The sequence below is a fragment of the Homo sapiens genome, chromosome 4 (assembly GCF_000001405.40).
Source record: "Homo sapiens chromosome 4, GRCh38.p14 Primary Assembly".
NCBI classification, from domain to species: Eukaryota; Metazoa; Chordata; class Mammalia; order Primates; family Hominidae; genus Homo; species Homo sapiens.
This window is the reverse complement of record NC_000004.12, coordinates 172,050,773-172,069,439: the sequence shown is the minus strand read 5'-3', so window position 1 is coordinate 172,069,439 and position 18,667 is coordinate 172,050,773. Positions and strand designations below refer to the sequence as shown.

Below are 18,667 nucleotides of genomic sequence, written 5' to 3'. Positions count from 1 at the left end.
ATGTTATATGTGTGTTATATATAACATATATGTGTTATATATAACACATATGTACACACACATATATATACACACTACATATATTTATAATTGATTTGTTAATTTTAAAGAATCTCTTTTATGCTGAATGCTGGATGAATGAATTTTAGTGCCACTATAACTGGTTTTAAGAATTGTTCTAAATGCTGGTGGAATATGGCAGACATTAATCATCTTTAATGACCTAGGTTATCAATACATAGGAAAAAATTGCATATTCAGGATAAAAGTTTATCTAGCAATAACATTGTCAAGGATTTCTCCTCATTTAAGCCAGAGTTCTTCAGTCTCCAGCTGGAAGGGAGAATTTCTGCTGAGTCTCTTTAGGAGGCCCATTAGCCCATCAGTGTGTGCTGGAATAAATAAAAATCTGTGGATGACAACCAAACCAAACCTGACATTTCTGCAGGAGGAGACGAGGGATTCCTTGTCCCTGATTTGTGCTGCCAAGAGAGATGGATGAACAAAGTCAGAACAAGAATGCAGGCACCAAACTGCTTACAAAGCCTGCTAAAAGATGCTCCTTGTAAAATATCCATGTTAGGGAATAAAGTTAGAAGACTTCAATGAGCTCTACACGTTCAAGGGTAAAGGAATTTCATTTATTCTTTCACAAAAGTATCTTTACTAACTGCTGTGCATACAAGAGTGAGGAAGACTAACAAAGCCATTGCTGAAATGGAATTTACAATATAAAGGAGAGGGCTGGGCAGATTAGTAAGCAGATTCACATTGTGTCTATTAATGTGTAAAAAAGAACAAACTAGAGTGATGGAATAAAGAGCGACTGGAGGAAGTGAAGTACTGAGAATTAAAGTGGGGGAAAGTCCTTTCATAGGAGGAGATAAACATTCACAGGACTCGTAGGGCACAAAAGAACATTCTAATTTAGAGAGAGGAAACAGTGAATGCAGAGGCCTGAATGCAAGAAACAGATCAGCATGTTCTATAAATTGGAGATTAGAACATAGAACTTAAGAAAGAGAACATGCGATAACATCAGGCAGAAGCCAGAAAGCAGATCATGCAGCAAGCATGGTGCCTAGATTTCATTCTGAGACTGATAGAGTATGTTTGGAACACATAAAGCAGGGAAGCTACTATAGTATATTAAGAAGCTATTAGAGAAGACGAAGTAGTAGAGGTAGCTTGAGCTAGGGTGCGGATAGTGAGGAGGGAAAAAAGTAGACACTTTCAGAACATGTTTCAGAGGTGGTGTTGGCGAGGTAACCCAGGGTCCCTGGGTTTTCAGGTACACACTGTATAAATCTACCCACTGGTAATTGTTTCACCCTGAGATTTTGTAGTTTCAAAAGTTCCAGGAAGAAGCACAGTCCAGGAAAAACAACAACAACAACAAAAACCTGTTGGATCCAGAGATGTCAGAGTTGGAGATAAACTTTGGTGAACTCAGCATTACCATACTAACACCCCCACCCCAAGAGGAACTGATTCACCATTTTCAATACATGCAAAGCATGAACAAGCATGACTGGTGACTGAGCCTCTGCTGCCTTTACTCCACTTCTACATGCAATGGCTCAACTAATCAGCCCAATGAAAGCTCTGTTTTCACCTTTGGTCAGGAAGGCACTGCTTTAGCAGCTAACCTGGGTGCCCTCCTTACTTGCAGGTAATAAAATCTCCTTGTTAAATTTTCCTTGGTAATGATCATTGGACTGTCACTCACCAAAGGATAGAACCCACCCATTGTGTGGGTAACAGTGAAAGTTAAAGTTGGATATTTAGGTAATAGATATATGAAACATGGAAATTAAAATGATTCCTATATTTTTGTCCTGAACAACTTTGCTAAGGATAAGAGAGGGATGGGGTGGACATCAAGACATCTGCTTTGACCACACTAAGTTTGAATTCCCAATTAGATGTCCAAGTGCAGAGGCCAAGTAGATGGCTATATACACATCTGGTGGTCTGCTGGGAAATCTGAGTTATAATTGCAAATTCGAGAGTCGTTTGCAATGACTCTCTGAAAGAGAAAATCACTGAGGTAGAGCGTACAGAGATAGGAAAGAAACAGAAAGAAGTAAAGTGAAGGAAAGAGGCGAGTAGAGGGGAGATGCTGAGAATAAAGTTTTGGGTCACCTCAATATTTAGAAGACTGACAGAGAAAGATGGACCAGTAAACAAGACTGGAGCCCTGTAATTGTGTATACTAGCAAAAAATTGATTTCTTGTTTTATTGTGCCTTTTAAAGTAGGAAATATTAGAGATGAAAAGATCTAGAATGTATGATCTAGTTGATCAAGTGGGAGAGGAAGAGACTAATTATAACAGCAAAATCCTCAAGCAGAAAAGGTGGAATAAGAACCATGGTGAAAGTGGAGGGATTAACCACTGTTAAAATCTAAGACACATCATCCTTTATGGTAAGAAGGAAGGCAGGCAGATAGGTGTATCCACACGTTCATGGATAGCCCAGGGAGAAGTCCAAAAAGTTTTCATTCAATTGCTTGTCTTTTCTCTGTGAAGCATGAGTCAGGTTATAAGTTGAAAATACAGGTAAAGGTTAGGGAGAAAGAAGTGGTTCACATAAGAGCATGCAAGTGGATTAGAAGAGAGCAAAAACATTTTGGAAAAAACAAACTAGCAAGGTTTAGTAGGGTCATTAGGCAATGATAGAGGCCCAAATGTCATGTTCTGTTAAAATGATAAGTGTAGTGTTCAGATGCAATAGGGTGACACTATCTGTAGATGATTCCAGAGGACTCAGGCTCTGCCATTCTACAGGGAAATCTTGAGATGAGTTCATGTATCACTAAAACTCAGATTAGCTCTTCACTAATCCTGAGGCCAAGCAGCAGGTCTTCCACTCCATAACAGGAAATTAAAAAAAAAAAAAAAGTCCAGGTCAGACATAATTACAAGATTCAGTAAAGATATAAGCTACACTATAGCCTCACAAGCAAAGAAATAGAAACTTAGCTGCTTTGAGATTTATCTTACTAAAGCAAAGAAAGTCATGAAAAGACATGGCGGAAATATAAATGCATATTGCTAAGAGAAAGAAGGCAATCTGAAAAAGTTACATACTATGTGATTTGGAAAATATGACATTCTGGAAAAAGCAAAACTATGGAGATAGTAAAGAGATCAGTGGCTTCCAGGAGTTGGGAGTAGGGAGCGATATGAATAGGCACACCACTGAAGATTTTCAGAGCAGTGAAACTACTCTGTATGATACTATAATAGTGGATATATGTCAGTTTTTATTTATCCAAACCCATAGAATGCACAACATCAAGAGTGAACCCTGATGTAAACAATGGACTTTGGGTGATAATGATGTGTCAATGTGTGCTCATCAACTGTAACAAATGTATCTTGTGGGGGATGTTGGTAATGAGGGAGGTTATTGGTGTTGTTTGGCTCTGTGTCCCCACCCAAATCTCACCTTGAATTGTGATAATCCTCACATGTCAAGGGTGGGACCAGGTGGAGATAATTTGAATTATGGGGGAGGTTCCCCCATGCTGTTCTCACGATAGTGAGTGAGTTCTCACCAGATCTGATGCTTGTATAAGGGGCTTCTCCCTTCACTGGACACTAATCCTCTCTTCTGCGCCCCTGTGAAAGGTGCCTTCTGCCGTGATTGTAAGTTTCCTGAAACCTCCCCAGCCTTGCGGAACCGTGAATCAATTAAACCGTTTTTCTTTATAAATTAGCCAATGTCTGGTATTTCTTCATAGCAGCGTGAGAATGGACTAACACAGTTAGGTATTATGTGGAGAAAGAAGGGCATGTGGGAAATCTCTGTACCCTCCTCTTAATTTTGCTGTGAACCTAAAACTACTCTAAAAAAAAAATTAGTCTTTTTTTTTCAAAGTTCAGTATCGGAGGTCAAAGGTTACAAAGACTACAACCAAAATATATTTCCTACCTATGATGTTACATTTGAATTGGGAATTTCAAATATTTTTCAGGTTGGAGTAATACAGTGCAGGGGTCCCCAACCCCTGGGCTGAGGACCTGTATCAGCCTGTGGCCTGTTAGGAAATGCGCAGCACAGTAGAAGGTGAGTAGTGGGCAAGAGAGCATTATGGCCTGAGCTCCGCCTCCTTTCAGATCAGTGGTGGCATTAGAGTCTCATAGGAGCACAAACCCTATTGTGAACTGCGCATGTGAGGGATCTAGGTTGCATGCTCCTTATGAGAATCTAATGCCTAATAATCTGAGGTGAAGCAGTTTTATCTTGAAACTATCCCCCCTAACCCCCAACCCTATCAAAATTATCTTCCTAGAAACCAGTCCCTTGTGCCAAAAAGGTTGGGGACTGCTGATATAGTGGGACTAAAAATAACACCAACTCTAAGATATTTTAAATTACATTTAATGGTCAAACCTGCTGACTAATAAAACTCAAATGATGTTTTTTGATGAACTAGGAATGCTCATGACTACTTTTAACATAACAGCATGAAGATTTGCTAGAAAAAAATTTGTAAAACTTACTAAAATATTTTTCATGTTATTTTCATATGAGATATTTATATTGAAAAATAGTGATTATTGTTTTTTTCACATGGCCACAATCAGTAGACCAAATATAGATGCTGATGGGACCACCTGGAGGTGAAGAAAAGGCACAAACTTTTGTTATTTTGTCCAGGATTGCTAAATTGATTACTGTGGCAAGGAGGGAGAATAAACCCATCTGATTTCTAACCAGATCCCAAAGTTGGAAAGAGGTGATATCAACTGTGCCCAAACTGAATGACAAGGAGGGGGCAATCCCATATCCACCTGCCACAATTTCCCATTTGAGTTTAGGCCTTCAAAAATCCTATCTTAATGATTTTTGAACATTGTACCCATTCTAGGTCAGAACACTGCTCTTGGAATTTAAATATATATTCAAAGCTCCACTAACCTCCTCCTGCCTCCCACGTCTCAGAAGTGTGACACAAGAAAGGTTTGTGTACAATCAAAATTGTCTATGACCTAGAATACACTTTTGAAAACTAATTTGTCTCAAAGTTCTGAAGAGTCTGACTTCAAGCGTACACTATTCAGACATTAACTTTAATGGTTCATTGCAAAATTGATGCAGCAGTATGGGCACCAAAGGCCAAATAATCATAATGCTGACTTGATTGTCACTGTCTTTAAACAAATGAGGGAGAAAAACAAACAGAAAAACAAAAAATAAAATCAATTGAGGGCAATGCAATTAGCATAGATGTTCTTGGATGATCTGACTACAATGTCTACAAAATTTAATATGGCCAATATTTGAATCAAGGGTTTATATTTAGCAGGTGATATCACCAAAGATCCTGGGATAGGCTTGGATCAGGAATATGTGTTTCAAAAAGGAGTAACTTTATTTGGAGAGACAGAACCATTATATAAACTAGTCAATGAAGAAAATGAAATAATCCTGCAGGAGAAGGATTTGGATAGTGGGCCACTCATTTAACATAAATTTGCAATGTAATGCTTCAGGCACAAGGCAAATTGCGGCTCATATGTGAATGTATAGCAGAGGTATTACATAAAGGATAAGGGAGTTTATTTTTTTCAGAAGAACATTATCGTGTGCATTTTTCAAGCACACATTTAAAAAAATGTCTTGTTAAATTGGGGAGAGTCCAAATAAGAACAATAAAAATGATATAAAGTTTAGAAAGCCCAACGTATAAGTACAGGTAACACAACTGCATTTTTACCACCCAGGAGAGACACTAAAGGGCTTTATGGATTGTCTGTAGCACTCAAAAGAACAGACTAATTTGAGGAGATGGGACCTGCTTTAAGTAGTCATTTTGGGTTAATAAACAATTGTCTTTAATAAAAAAGCAGAAAGAGTGTTTTCTTTCATTGCAAAAGAGGGTTTTGCAAAACACTTTGTTTAGAGTCATATACATTTAGAAAACAAAACCAAAAAATAAAAGCCAAAAAAAAGTTCTTTAAAAAAAGTAGTTATAGAAAAAACTAGAAATAACTGAGTTTTAGGGAAAAATCTGTAATATTCTATAGACATTTAAAATATAAACATCTTTAAATGAGAAAAAACATAAATCAGCCATGCTTTGGCTAATTATGGTAGCCTTTAATTTTATGAGGCTGATGAGACTTACTATATTGAAACATGAATGTGAAAGATTATATTGAGAAACTACTCTTTCCTTCTGAATTTGGGCAAGCTAATTGAAGAAAGTGAAGCAAAGTGCTTGTGTTTACCCTAGCCTTCACAGATATTCAGCTACGTTGTCCTTCCCCTGCAGAGCTTTCCAAGGGTGGAAGGCACTAAGATGCATAAAAGGACTTCACAGCAGAGGGAAATGAGATGAAATTTTGGCCGCTCAAGAACTTCTTAGACTTACTCTGGTGCCAACAGCTGGTAGGCAGGATTTTGGTATTACATAGCTCCTAGTAATGAAAAGTACTTTGCAAGGCACGCTTCCAGAATCCATACAGATGGTGGGAAAAATAACTTTTATTCAACTTATTAAATTTTACATTGCTTTTCTCCCAGGTAGCAAAGGAAGCAGAAAGGAGGTAGAGTGATGAATTATGATGCCAGGCAGGGAAGGGTTACTCATAGTCTCTCTGATAGGGGGACTTGGCAGGAGATTCAGAGGTCTAGAACAGCCATCTATTTTTCCCCTCTCTGTACAACATCACTGATTTCATGGAGCACAGGGCAAAAGGCCAAGTGATTCCAGTCATATGAAAAATGTGGTTGTATCTTAGAATTGCATTTTTTAAAATGTGACATGCTTTGTTGAAATGTGTTTTGGAATGCTGATTTTGGATGTAGCCACAATAGTTATTTATTGCTTTGAAAATTTATCGATAGCCTTTAATTCACGACCAACCTTCTTTCATTATATTTCCTTACTTTTAAGAGATATGACTTTCTACGAAGGGAGAAAATACATGTGTGTGTTTTGGGGACATGAGGTTGGGGAAAGGTAAGGCAGTAAGAAACAGCAGTCTTATAAAAATATAAATATTAGCACAGTTGAGCTTATTTCATAGCAATAAAATTGGTGAGTTGGTATTTTGTAATGATTTACTGGACAGATAGACATTTGATTCGTATTTGGTCTACTTCTAGGCCGTGTGACATTAAACACATTATTAAATTTCTCTCTCAGTATTCTTACTTACAAAATGTGGAGGCCAGGAGTAGTGGCTTATGCCTGTAATCCCAGCACTTTGGGAGGCCAAGGCGGGCGGATCATGAGGTCAGGAATTCAAGACAAGCCTGGCCAACATAGCAAAACCCTGTCTCTACTAAAAAAAAAAATACAAAAATTAGCTGGGCATGGTGGTGTGCACCTGTAGTCCCAGCTACTCAGGAGGCTGCGGCAGGAGAATCGTTTGAACCTGGGGGGGCAGAAGTTGCAGTGAGCCAAGATCGTGCCATTGCACTCCAGCCTACACAGCAAGAGCAAGACTCTGTCTCAAAAAAAAAAAAAAAAAAAAGTGGATAAAAATACCAAGCTCAAAAGCAGGGAATGGGTGGTAAATAACAGATTCCAAAGCATTTACAGTGCAATGTTGGCGTATGCTAAGTCCTTAAGAGATGGTGAGTTTTGAGAACGTTCAGGGTGGATGCATTTGGAAGCAGCAAGTTTGTAAATTCAGGTGTTTAGTGGTCTAAAATAAATCAAGACATCTCCTAAAGCAATAGAACTTAAAATCATGGAGCTTATTTATTACAAAAATTAAGTTAGTATACAATGGGTAGGTAACAGAAAAAAAAGCCCAAAGGTTAATTAAGAGAAAAATTAAATTCTAGCATAATAAAAAATGAAATAAATAATACAAGCACATATTTGGCCTTTCTGGGACATTTCAAAAGTCTTTTATCAAGATTTTCAAGATTATCAAGATTGTTGTCTTGTGACAACAAGACATTTTGAAATGATATGACCAAAACAGTTCTTTTCTTTCACTAGACAAATAAAGGAGCTTGAGGGGATTTTGCAACATTTGAATGACAGAACGAAAGTGCAATATATGACTAGGGCTGCTGAGCTCAATACAACATGAACTACTGGAGGACTAGACAGTGAAGCATCTGTTCTTCTCATTAAACAACCTTCTCCCTTGCCAGAGAAGGAGACTGGGTGAATTTTTTTAAACAAATGTATTTTTAAAATATTATCTAGTCAGATTGAAAGGAGGTGAAAAGGATGAAGGGAGAGAGAGAGAGAGAATACAGAGAGAGAAAAAAAGACCTGAAAAGTTCTATTAGTATTACAAATAGTCTTTTAAAGAAGAAAAATAAGTATTTTTTTCTAGTTGTATGAATTTGTACAATAACTGATTTCTTGGTTTCAGGTAATCACTGTTACCAGTTATTAATATGTATGTGTATTTTCTTCATGGCTAATTAGAAAGATTGTTGTTTTTTTCCCACATTAGTACCAAACATATTCCTAATGATGGCTCTATGTATCTATGCATAGCAATCTGCATTTGTCATTTTCCTTAGAGCCCATGTAATATGGTGTAATTTTTATTTACATAATGGAATAAGTTTGTGTCAAATTAACTGGAAGACCTTGAAATGCTTTGCAAAATAAGTCAGTTCCATTGTACGTATTAGCCATTCATCCACGCAGAAAAATGTTATTTCTATGTAGTCAAACAAAATGGAATGCTGGGTAGTGACTAAGTGATGTTTTGAATGCCAGCCTGAAATGGTAGTGGGTGTGTTTGGAGGGCCTGATATACATAGAAAACTACCTCAACTCTATAATTAAATTGTTCTATGTGTCTTTCTTTAAAAGACAATAAGATGTTTTCTGATACCAAAATATGTAACTTTTGTTTTTTTTTCAAAATATTTTGCCTTCCTAGAGAAATAAAATGTTTTATTTTTCATGCAGATTCAGATCATAAAGGGGATCATTGACTACGATAAATCATCAACTGAACATGTTAAAATTTTTTTGGTTATATGTAAAAATAGAGAAACAGGAGAGTAGAGCAATTAAAGTATACAATTATTTCTAACATTTCATTCATGCGTATGCATTATCAATAAATGAATACACATATACATGTATGTATGTGCATATGTATATATATTTGTGTGCATATATATGCAGATATGTATATGTATGTGTAAACATGTATATATGTATGTACATACAGAAATATTTGATTGTATTTTGCCCTTATAGAATTGCTTTTGTCTTCAATTTTTAACTATGTCCTCTTTCTCTGAGGCTTTTCCATGTTTTGGTAATTCAGGTTAAGATGGTATTAATTTGGCAAAAAGTAACACATTTTTTCTCTCCTGGTGAATTACTTAGATATCCTTAGAAGAAAAAAAGAAAAAGAACATTTTATTTGTGACTGAGCTTTCTCATTTTAGGAAAAGTAACTTATTCCTACCTGAGCCAAATTTTAGTTAAGTGAAGCTGGATTCAAATTCCCTACAGTCTTCTTTTGAGGCCTCTCCTTCTGGGCTTCCTGGGAGCCCTGTGCCCTTCATATTTCCCTTCCCTCTCACCTTAAAACTGGCAACTGGCTCTCACTTTGATTTTAAACCTCGGAGAGATAATATAATTGAGAAGAAAATGGACTTATGACAATGACAGATGTGTTTTTTATTCACTTCTACCACTTACTAGTGGTTTGACTTTTGACTAAAACTTCAAATAAACATAGCATGAGTAAAAATCACACTTTATATTGCAATCTAAGTATAACCTGACTCCTGACATTTTTAACCAATTCACATTTAAATATTTTTAAAATCTGAGAATCATGACTTTTTTTCAGCTCCAAAATCTTTTTTGTTGTGTTAAATCTCTTTAAAACTCCTTACTTGTATTTCCTATTTACATTTTCTTACATTCTTGCCCTCATTCATATATTTATATTAGACAACGGTTCAAGTTATTAAACTCTTTCTTCCCTTTCAAGTCACAGGATTCTTCCAAATTGACAATTAGTTTTATTTCTCTGTGTCATTTTGAGATTCCATCGACCATTTGAATTATATTGTAATGTCGAGTATGAGCACATAGCCCTCGGCAGATAGAAATATGATGTCTTCTTTAGTCACCCATTGACAATGGAATTGAAAATCTGGGACCTCACCCCAGGAGGTGTCTCTGCTCCCAGAAGCAAGCCAGGAGAGGTGGGCTTCAACTAATACAACTGCTTCCTCTTATTCTGTCTGAATCAGAATAAACAGCTTCCTTCTCATAGAGAACACATAGTAAACGAGCAGAAGCAAACCCCCTTCCTTTTTCCAAAAGATTCCTTCTCCAAGGAGATGATCTCTCCTCTAGGCAACTCAGAAATCTGCTTACTTGCACAAGCCTGGTAGATAGACACACTTCTTTTCAAGACTTTAGTTTATTGATTGTCTCTCAATTGCAACAAAAGATGCCCTGATACCTACACTTTCTCTCCAAAGATTCAGATGGAATAGGATGTCTGTACACATCTCAATAGAAAATTTTAATTATTTTAGTGGCTGGGATGTAAAAATAGTAAATTGGAAGAGAGAAATGATCAGAAACAAATGCTCAAGTCACCGTCTTCTAAATGTTCCCTTTTGAAGACTTATAAGATATAGTTAAAGCATGCAGAAAAGTAAAGTAGGTTCTGGAAATCTGAGAAGAAAGAGGGAAGTAAGATTGCCATTTGATCATTATACTATAAAAAAGCAACTACTTGATTAGAGGAAAAATGAATGACTTTAAATAAACAGAATGGCAATAGACAGTGGCAAACTATATGAAAAGAAGTATAGATATTATTTGGCGATTATGTAAAGTAAGTCAGGAGAATAGAAAAAGCTAGAATAAAAAAGGTAAGAACAACATGCAGGTGTGCACACATGCAAGTGTACATGCACACACACACAGACACAAAACAACTCCTAAGTGTAAGAAAAAAAATCAAGGTGAAAATAAAATACAACCAAGGTAACTGCAAAACTTTGTTGAAATGAATGGAAACAAAATTGAATCAAAGAAGACAAGTATTCTGTGTCTGGAAGGCAAAGTTCGTATTTTTCGAGATCTTATTTTTCTCGAAATTTATATATGTATTTAATTCGGTCTCAATTTATCAAAATTATCTTTAATACTTTTAGAATATTTAGAAGGTGAGACTAGAAAAAATACTTTTAAAAAGAAGTGTAGGGTAGGCATGGTGGCTCACAGTGTTGTCCCAGCTACTTGGGGTGGAGACAGGAAGATCACTTGAGCCCAGGAGTTTGAGACCAGCTTGGGCACTGGTCTGTACAACAAAACAAAACAAAACAAAACAAAACAAAACAAAACAACCACTTCAGCCTGGGTGACAGATTGTACAGAGTGAGGCCCTGTCTCAAAAACAAAAAACAAACAAAAAACTCCAAAATGTGTAGTTGCTGATTTATATAGCCATGGAGTATAACATGGAGTACAAGCACACAAATGAAGTCAGTTTGGTACTAATGCTAAAATAAAAACATGTGCGGAAAAATGGAAAAGATTCTTTATCTCAGGAAAGAGCTATGTTCATAAGTGTGTATCCACATAATAAATCGTGTTAAAAACACCACATTAATCAATGGAAAGTTTATCACACAAAGAGAACAATTCACATGCCCATAGCATCTAATTTCAGATGAATACAAGATGAATAAAAACTTGATTTATATATATATATATATATATATATATATATTTTTTTTTTTTTTTTTTTTTTTTTTTGAGACAGGGTCTGTGTCACCCAGGCTGGAGTTCAGTGGGCAGTCTCTCCTCACTGCATCCTTAACCTCCCATGCTCAAGCGATCTTCCCGCCTCAACCTCTGGAGTAGCTGGGACTACAGGAGTATACCACCACACCCAGTTTTTTTTATTTTTTATTTTTATTTTTTTACTTTTTGTAGAGACAAGCTCTCACTATGTTGCCCGGGCTGATTTTGAATTCCTGGGCTCAAATGATCCTCCCGCTTTGGCCTCCTGAGTAGTTGGGACCACAGGCATGAGACCACAATGCTTGGCCTACACTTTTTTTTAAAAGCTACTTTTTCTAGTCTCGCCTTCTAAATATTCTGCAACCTCTCTCTCCTGGGCTCAAGTGATCCTTCCACCTCAGCCTCTCGAGTAGCTGGGAGTATATGCATGCACCACTACAACTGGCTAATTTTTTTGGTACTTTTTTGGGTAGATACAGGGTTTCGCCATGTTGCTCAGGTTGATCTCGAACTGCTGGGCTCAAGATATGTGTCAGCCTCAACCTTCCAAAGTGCTAGAATTACAGGTGTAAGCCACCATGCCCAGCCAAAAACAATTAATGTTTAAAGTTAATAAGTAACATACATTAGGCAAAAGTTTATGCGTTCTTGCAAAATAAATTCTTTTAAAGATTGAAGTAACAGTTCAAACCAACACTACAAAGAAGAAAAAATTTTACTTCATTAAACTACTTCATTAAAAATATTGTAACATTAAAATATTTTAATTTTAAAACCATAATTTAAAATATTTGTAATGTTTTTAAAATAAAACTATCATACAATATAATGCTATCAACTAGGAGGATATTCACAATAAGGCAAAAATTGATACACATAGTCTATAATTTTTTTGCATACTGATGAAATGAAAAGATACTTCTATAAACCAGATAAAGTACCACAATAAGCAGTTCACTAAAGATAAACCACAAATGACAAACAAATATGTCAAAATGCTTATTTTATTTATAATTAAATAACTATATTATTAAAAATACTTCTACAATCTTTTTCTTTGCTTGATGAATTAGCCTAGGTTTAAAAACCTGATAATACTTAATTTTAGCAGTTTCACAAGAGACTGAAGGAAATAAATATTGATACAAACTTTAAAACATTGTGTATTCTGTATATTGAGTCCTAAAAATGTTCATAGACTCTGATCCAAATAATTTTATTCATCGTATGTACTCTAAGAAATGATCTGAAATTGAAAAAATATAAATAGAAATATTCTCAGGAGAGAGTTGTTTGTAGCAGCAAAAAAGAATGTTAACAGCTTAAATGGTCAACAAAGTAAATATTTTAATCAATTATGGTACTTGTATATACGAAAGAATGCTACACAACTATTTACATAATATCCTCAAGGCTTCCCCTGAAAAGAAAATTATGCTTTTGGCACAATGTTGAATGATAAAATGCATACTTCAATGTTATGCAGAAAATATAAGTTCAAGTATGTAAACAACATAAGCGATAAATATTATGTGATAAAATGGCTAAATGGCAGCATTTTTTTCGTTAAGTGTCAGAATTTTAAGTCAATCTGTTATTCTTAATAGCAGATTTTTAAAAACACATTTTGTTTATAGGTATCTTCACTCAGCAATTTTTCTACTATTTTGGAATATTTGGTTTCCCAAATACTCTTTTAGGGAACAAATGCTTTTATCAGTAGACAAAGTATTGAATTGCTTTGCTGCTATATATTTCATCATCATAAACTGACAACTTTTTTCATACTATCATTGATGAACTCAATTACATTCTGTCCATTTTCCCCCAAGCTTAATAAACCCTGAGTGGGCTAGAATTCAATTTTAGATCCCTTCTGTGAAATCTAAAACTATAGACCAATCTGGCTAAGAAGTACCCTGATAACTGGCCCACGTTAACTCAGAAGTTGTCAAAGCTACATTCTATCAGTAAGTGTTATTACTTTGTCATGTGTCAGATGGGGCTCTCAAATCCACTCCAGCCCAGAGGACCTGCTTAGGCAGAGCTCAGCTTAAAGCCTAGCAGGTTTTCCCATTTGCAATGTCTGGTTGACTAAACGGACTTTGGATTTGCTCTGGACTTCTACCCACCTTGGATTTGGGAAAAGGGTGGGAAAAAAAATGGAAGTCTCAATTTGATTTCTAGGCACAGACCACACTCTCCAATCTAATTTTTACCAAAGAGCCCTATTGTGGGATTTTTCAAATGTGTAACAACAACAGTGAAATTGTACTTTCCAAAATTTCCTATTTTTTTAGAAAAGAGCTCCATTTACTTCAAGAAAATTGTTGGAAAGAGGGATGTGCAGCAGTGAAGCATTAGGAGAGTTTTTAGTTCCAGAATATTACACAATTTTAATACAACCAAATGCCCACTCTACCTTAAAATAGCCTGATTCTTTCCTTGTGGTTTACTTTCTGCCTACATCTGAAAGCGAAAGGAGGCTGCTCTGAGAACTGGCCATCTCAGAATAAGAAGAAGGAAAGCAGGGGAAATTTTCTCTACTTATTGGTTTATTTGTTTTCTTTTTATTTTGCCAGAGAGCCCCATACAATAAGTTATAAGCCCCTCATTCAGCAAATAATAAAGTGAGATTCTGTCTTCCATTTGGGTGTGTCTCCATGCATTTAGTTCTAATGCTCTGGACCCATAAGGAGAAAAGCTGAATACTAAGGTTTGGCTGTCTCTTGGTTCCTATTTGAATGCCACATTGAGACAGTCAAAGTTTGTTACATATACTCTTCAACTTTAAGTTGTAATAATCCATTCTCCGTTATCAAAAGTTTGGATCAAGAAACAGAACTAACAACTTTCTCTTGATCATTAATGAAAAGGCACGACTTCTCATTTGTTTCGAAGTTCAGTAGTTGGACAATATGAGTTTGACAAGAATCATTATTTAGGTTTCCTTTATACTATTGAATACGGTTACTTTTGTACTTTAAACTGAATGTTTATGTTCCCTCAAAATTCTTATGTTGAAACGTAACCCTCAATGTTATAATATTTGGGGATGAAGATTTTGAGAAGTGGTTTGACCATGAGGGTGGAGTTCTTGTGAACAAGATTAATACCCTTATAAAAGAGGCCCTTTCCAACATGTGAAAATACAATCAGAAAATCTCTGGTCTATGAACTAGGAAGTGGGACTTCACCGGATATTGAACCTGCTGGAAGCCTTGATCTTAGACTTCCTAGCCTCCAGAGCTGTGACAAGTGTTTATAAGCCATTCCATCAATTGTTGTTTATAAGCCATTCCATCAATTTCATTATAGCAGCCTAAATAAACTAAGACACTTTGCATGTTTAATTCATGTAAATAAAGTATGTAAAATATAAAATGTGCTCATTAAATTATTTCTATTTGAATTGTGATTCTTTGACCCTTGATTGAAAACCCTGTTATAAAAATATGTTTGTGATAAGAATTGTTCTAATATCTAAAGTTATTGCAGTATATTGGAGTTACCATTATCAAACATTAATTATAATATTAATAGAAAAATTAAGTATGAATATTAGATTTCTCATGAAGTATCCCTAGATATGTTAAAGTGTAGCGTTAGAAAGAAAGATTTCTAACTTTAGAAAGCCTCCTGGACTCTAGAAGCCAACATTTATTTCTCAACATGAACCAATAACATTTTGCTTAACTATGAAAATATTTTAGAATATTCTTATTAATTTTGGATTTTGTTTTGTATATACAATTGTGCTTTGATTTTGAAACTCATAATTTGTGATTACTTTAGTTTTTGTTTGGCCCATGGATATATATTATTTATTTGTTATAAAAATTTACATAACTTCAAAAGATAAAATTTAAAGGTCTTGCCTCCTTCGCTAGGGGACCCATTCATGTAAAAAAAAGGTCCATGTTCACCTACACTCAGGTACACAGACACACAAAATATGTGCATGCATGCATACATACACACCATACACATAGACACAGCTCATTTGTTTCTTTCTGATTGAAGTGTATGGAAAATTTTGTCAGCAGCTATAAACTTCTCCCCCAATTGTAGAGGGACAATTGTGATATTAATATAATGCACTAAGTTCGCTTGTAGTGGGATAAATACTGAAGTACTTTAAAACCCTTTGTTTCTCTGCCAAGAACACATGTTCCTGTCTTTTTCAGCAGTCCCTTTAGAAAAGAATTAATTCCAGACAGCTTTGAGCTATTCATGCCAACACCACAGGCACTAAAGGAAGCAGCTTTCAGGAGAATGGCTACCTCTATCCTCACCTTAATGATTTTTCTTTTGGATCAATGCTCATAGGTTTTGGATGTCTGTGTGCAGAGTATTTATTAAGTTGACTATAATGACTGGGGATAGCACCTGCTTGGTCTGTTGATCCCCTGTATTATTGTGTTTTTTTTAAAAAAACACCATGTCTGGTTACAAAGAAATCCTCAAAAAGCTTTTCACATAAAATATGATTCAGAAATTACAAAATTCTCATCACTAAAATTTGGTATTCTGATTCTTATTCCAGGTAAAAATATGTTTAGGTATCTAATGAAAATGGTAATTAGACGTGAGTTCATTTATCTTAAAATCAGCCTTAGTTGTATTTATTTGTATTTTATTTTTGTCCTATTTACATGTCACTGCATAAGTCTTGAATATTATTTTACATAGTAAGGTTTCTTTCATTGTGCTGCCTGGTGCTCATTCCTTTTCCCCTGACATTCAGGCAGCAACCACAACTTCATGTAACTATTGTTTTGAAGAGAAAGGGCAAGTATAACTTAGTTTTTTTGTTTTTTGTTTTTTAAGGCAAATACAATTGTGTGTGTGAGAGAGTGTGTGTGAATATGTATGTATGTTTATGCTAGTAGAGACAGTTATATAGGAAAAGTTCATGAGAAAAAAGGTTTTCTGAATATCAAAAGTTTGACTTCAAATATCAAAGCTTAAAACTCTGTAGGAAGTCAGGTTGAATCAATTCCAAATACAAAGTGATAGCAAAGCTAACCTTGTCTACCCTGGGCAAAAGTGATCACAAAAGAAAGAGATGATGGTGAGACTACGTGACCCTAAAGTCCTGATTCAACAACAAGCGTCCATGAGACGAACCACCCTATCTTGTCTTGGTCTGCACTGCAGCCGTTTGCTTTTTACCGGTTACCTGGTAAACCAGCTCATGCACTCCGTGGTCTGCACTAATGCTTGGATTCCTCTGGTGGCCAGCTCCGGCTCTGAACTTGGCTCTCATCTGGCTGGTGAATGGGTTGGGGTAAACAGCCCATCTGGAGCTTGTGGTTACTATGAAGGATGTGAAGGTGTGCATAGGTCTTCAAGGGCGTGTTCAAGCCCATCTCTAAATAAGCTCACAATATACCCGAGCTCTTCCCTGGGAAGTGTGGTACATGTCCTGTATCCTCTCTGCCTTGAGGCTCTACTGAAATAATATAAAACTGTGAATGTTCCATTTCCATGACCGGGATATAAGAACAGAGCTAGAAGCCCTCTAAGGCAGTGCTTCTCAAATTATATGTGAGGACTCTTTTTTCAGAGTCCAGTTTTTTGTTTTTTAATATCTCAGCAGTCATAGGTGAATACACTTGTAAAGTGAAAATGACCTATTAGTAAAATAAAAGTTTAAAGGCAATATTTCATCTCCTAGAAGGCTGCAGAGGAGTCAGGATCACCATATTAAGCTGTATGACAGTGCTGATAAGGGAGAGGCTGGAGGCAGAGAGGGTAGCCCCAGAGCCCTGTCAATGCTGGAAAGGTTGACTCTATACACCCTTTGGCCCAAAGCCTTTATTTGCTTTGTCAGTTCCCAAGGTGTCAGAAAACTAATGATATGGACAGGAGACAGGGAAATACTGAGTACAAGAGGGTGGTTCCCTGGCAGAGGCCCTACCTGCAAGCCTGGAAACCCATGGCCCTAAGTGGGAACAGGCATTCCTATTTTCATGCCCAAAAGTTGCCTTTTGGCCCGCCATGCTCCCCTATCCTGTGCCCATATAAACTTCAGACCCCATGCTACAGAACCTATGAGGAGATGAACAGAAGAGAAGAAAAATGGCAGAACAGTGTGGTAGAGAAGGCAAGAAGAAAAGGAACGTCTGAATGCTGAAAGGAGTCTGGCTGGGGATGATCAGAGAGGAGATCAGCCACTGGGTGGCCAAACTGCAGGGGAAGATCACCTTCCCACCCCATCCCCATTCCAGCTCCCCCTCCATCCCACTGAGAGCCAATGCAACCACTTAATAAAATCCCTGCATTTATCCTTCAAGTCCATGTGTGACCTGATTCTTCCTGGATTCCAGACAAGGACCTGGGTATCAAGAGGGCACTGAGCTGGTTAACACTTAAGCCATCTGTGGACAGCAAAGCTAAAAGAACGCACTGTAATACACGCCCACTTGGGCTTTGGAAATCATAGGTACCCACCCCTACATGTTACCATGGGGATGGAGCCCCAAAGCACTCACCTCAGCTCCTGCACCTGCCCGTCTCCATGCTCCCCTTCCTATAAGGGATTTAAGTGCATGGTGCTGAACACACAAGCCACACCCCTGTCACACATCCTGTAGGGGGGTCAGGGAACTCTCCTGCTTCACTAACACTCTGCCTTTGCCAAGGTTGATGACAGTGCATCATAAATACTCCTACCCTTAGGTTTCAGGAGGAAACTTATGAGGTGCCTTGTTACAAATTCCAAGAATACCCCAGCAAGAATAAATTCATTATACACATTAGTGACCCTGATGATAACCATACTTTCTTAGCTAGCGTTCCTTCTTTTTTCCTCATTGCTTTCCCAGTATTTCCTAAGTTCATTTCCCAGATAAATTATTCTCACTTGAATCATTGAGAGGGAGCAGGGACCCCTCTTGGCCTGTAGGCCCACCCAAACATAGAATTAAAGAAAAATC

At 36.6% G+C, this 18,667-nt stretch overlaps 1 protein-coding gene across 3 annotated transcripts in view; it reads right to left on the bottom strand.

The window, feature by feature from the left end:
• The window catches only part of GALNTL6 (polypeptide N-acetylgalactosaminyltransferase like 6), a 1,228,156-nt gene that overhangs the window by 972,120 nt on the left and 237,369 nt on the right, over positions 1 to 18,667 (bottom strand). Inside the window, exon 1 of one of the 3 annotated variants that reach the window (XM_017008244.3) lies at positions 16,909 to 17,885. The exons of the other annotated variants lie outside the window; for them this stretch is intronic. Within the exon in view, the coding sequence (XP_016863733.1) occupies positions 16,909 to 17,070 (162 nt within the window). The 5' untranslated portion in view covers positions 17,071 to 17,885. Of the gene's footprint in view, positions 1 to 16,908; positions 17,886 to 18,667 lie in introns of those variants that run through there. 3 annotated transcript variants of the gene reach the window in all.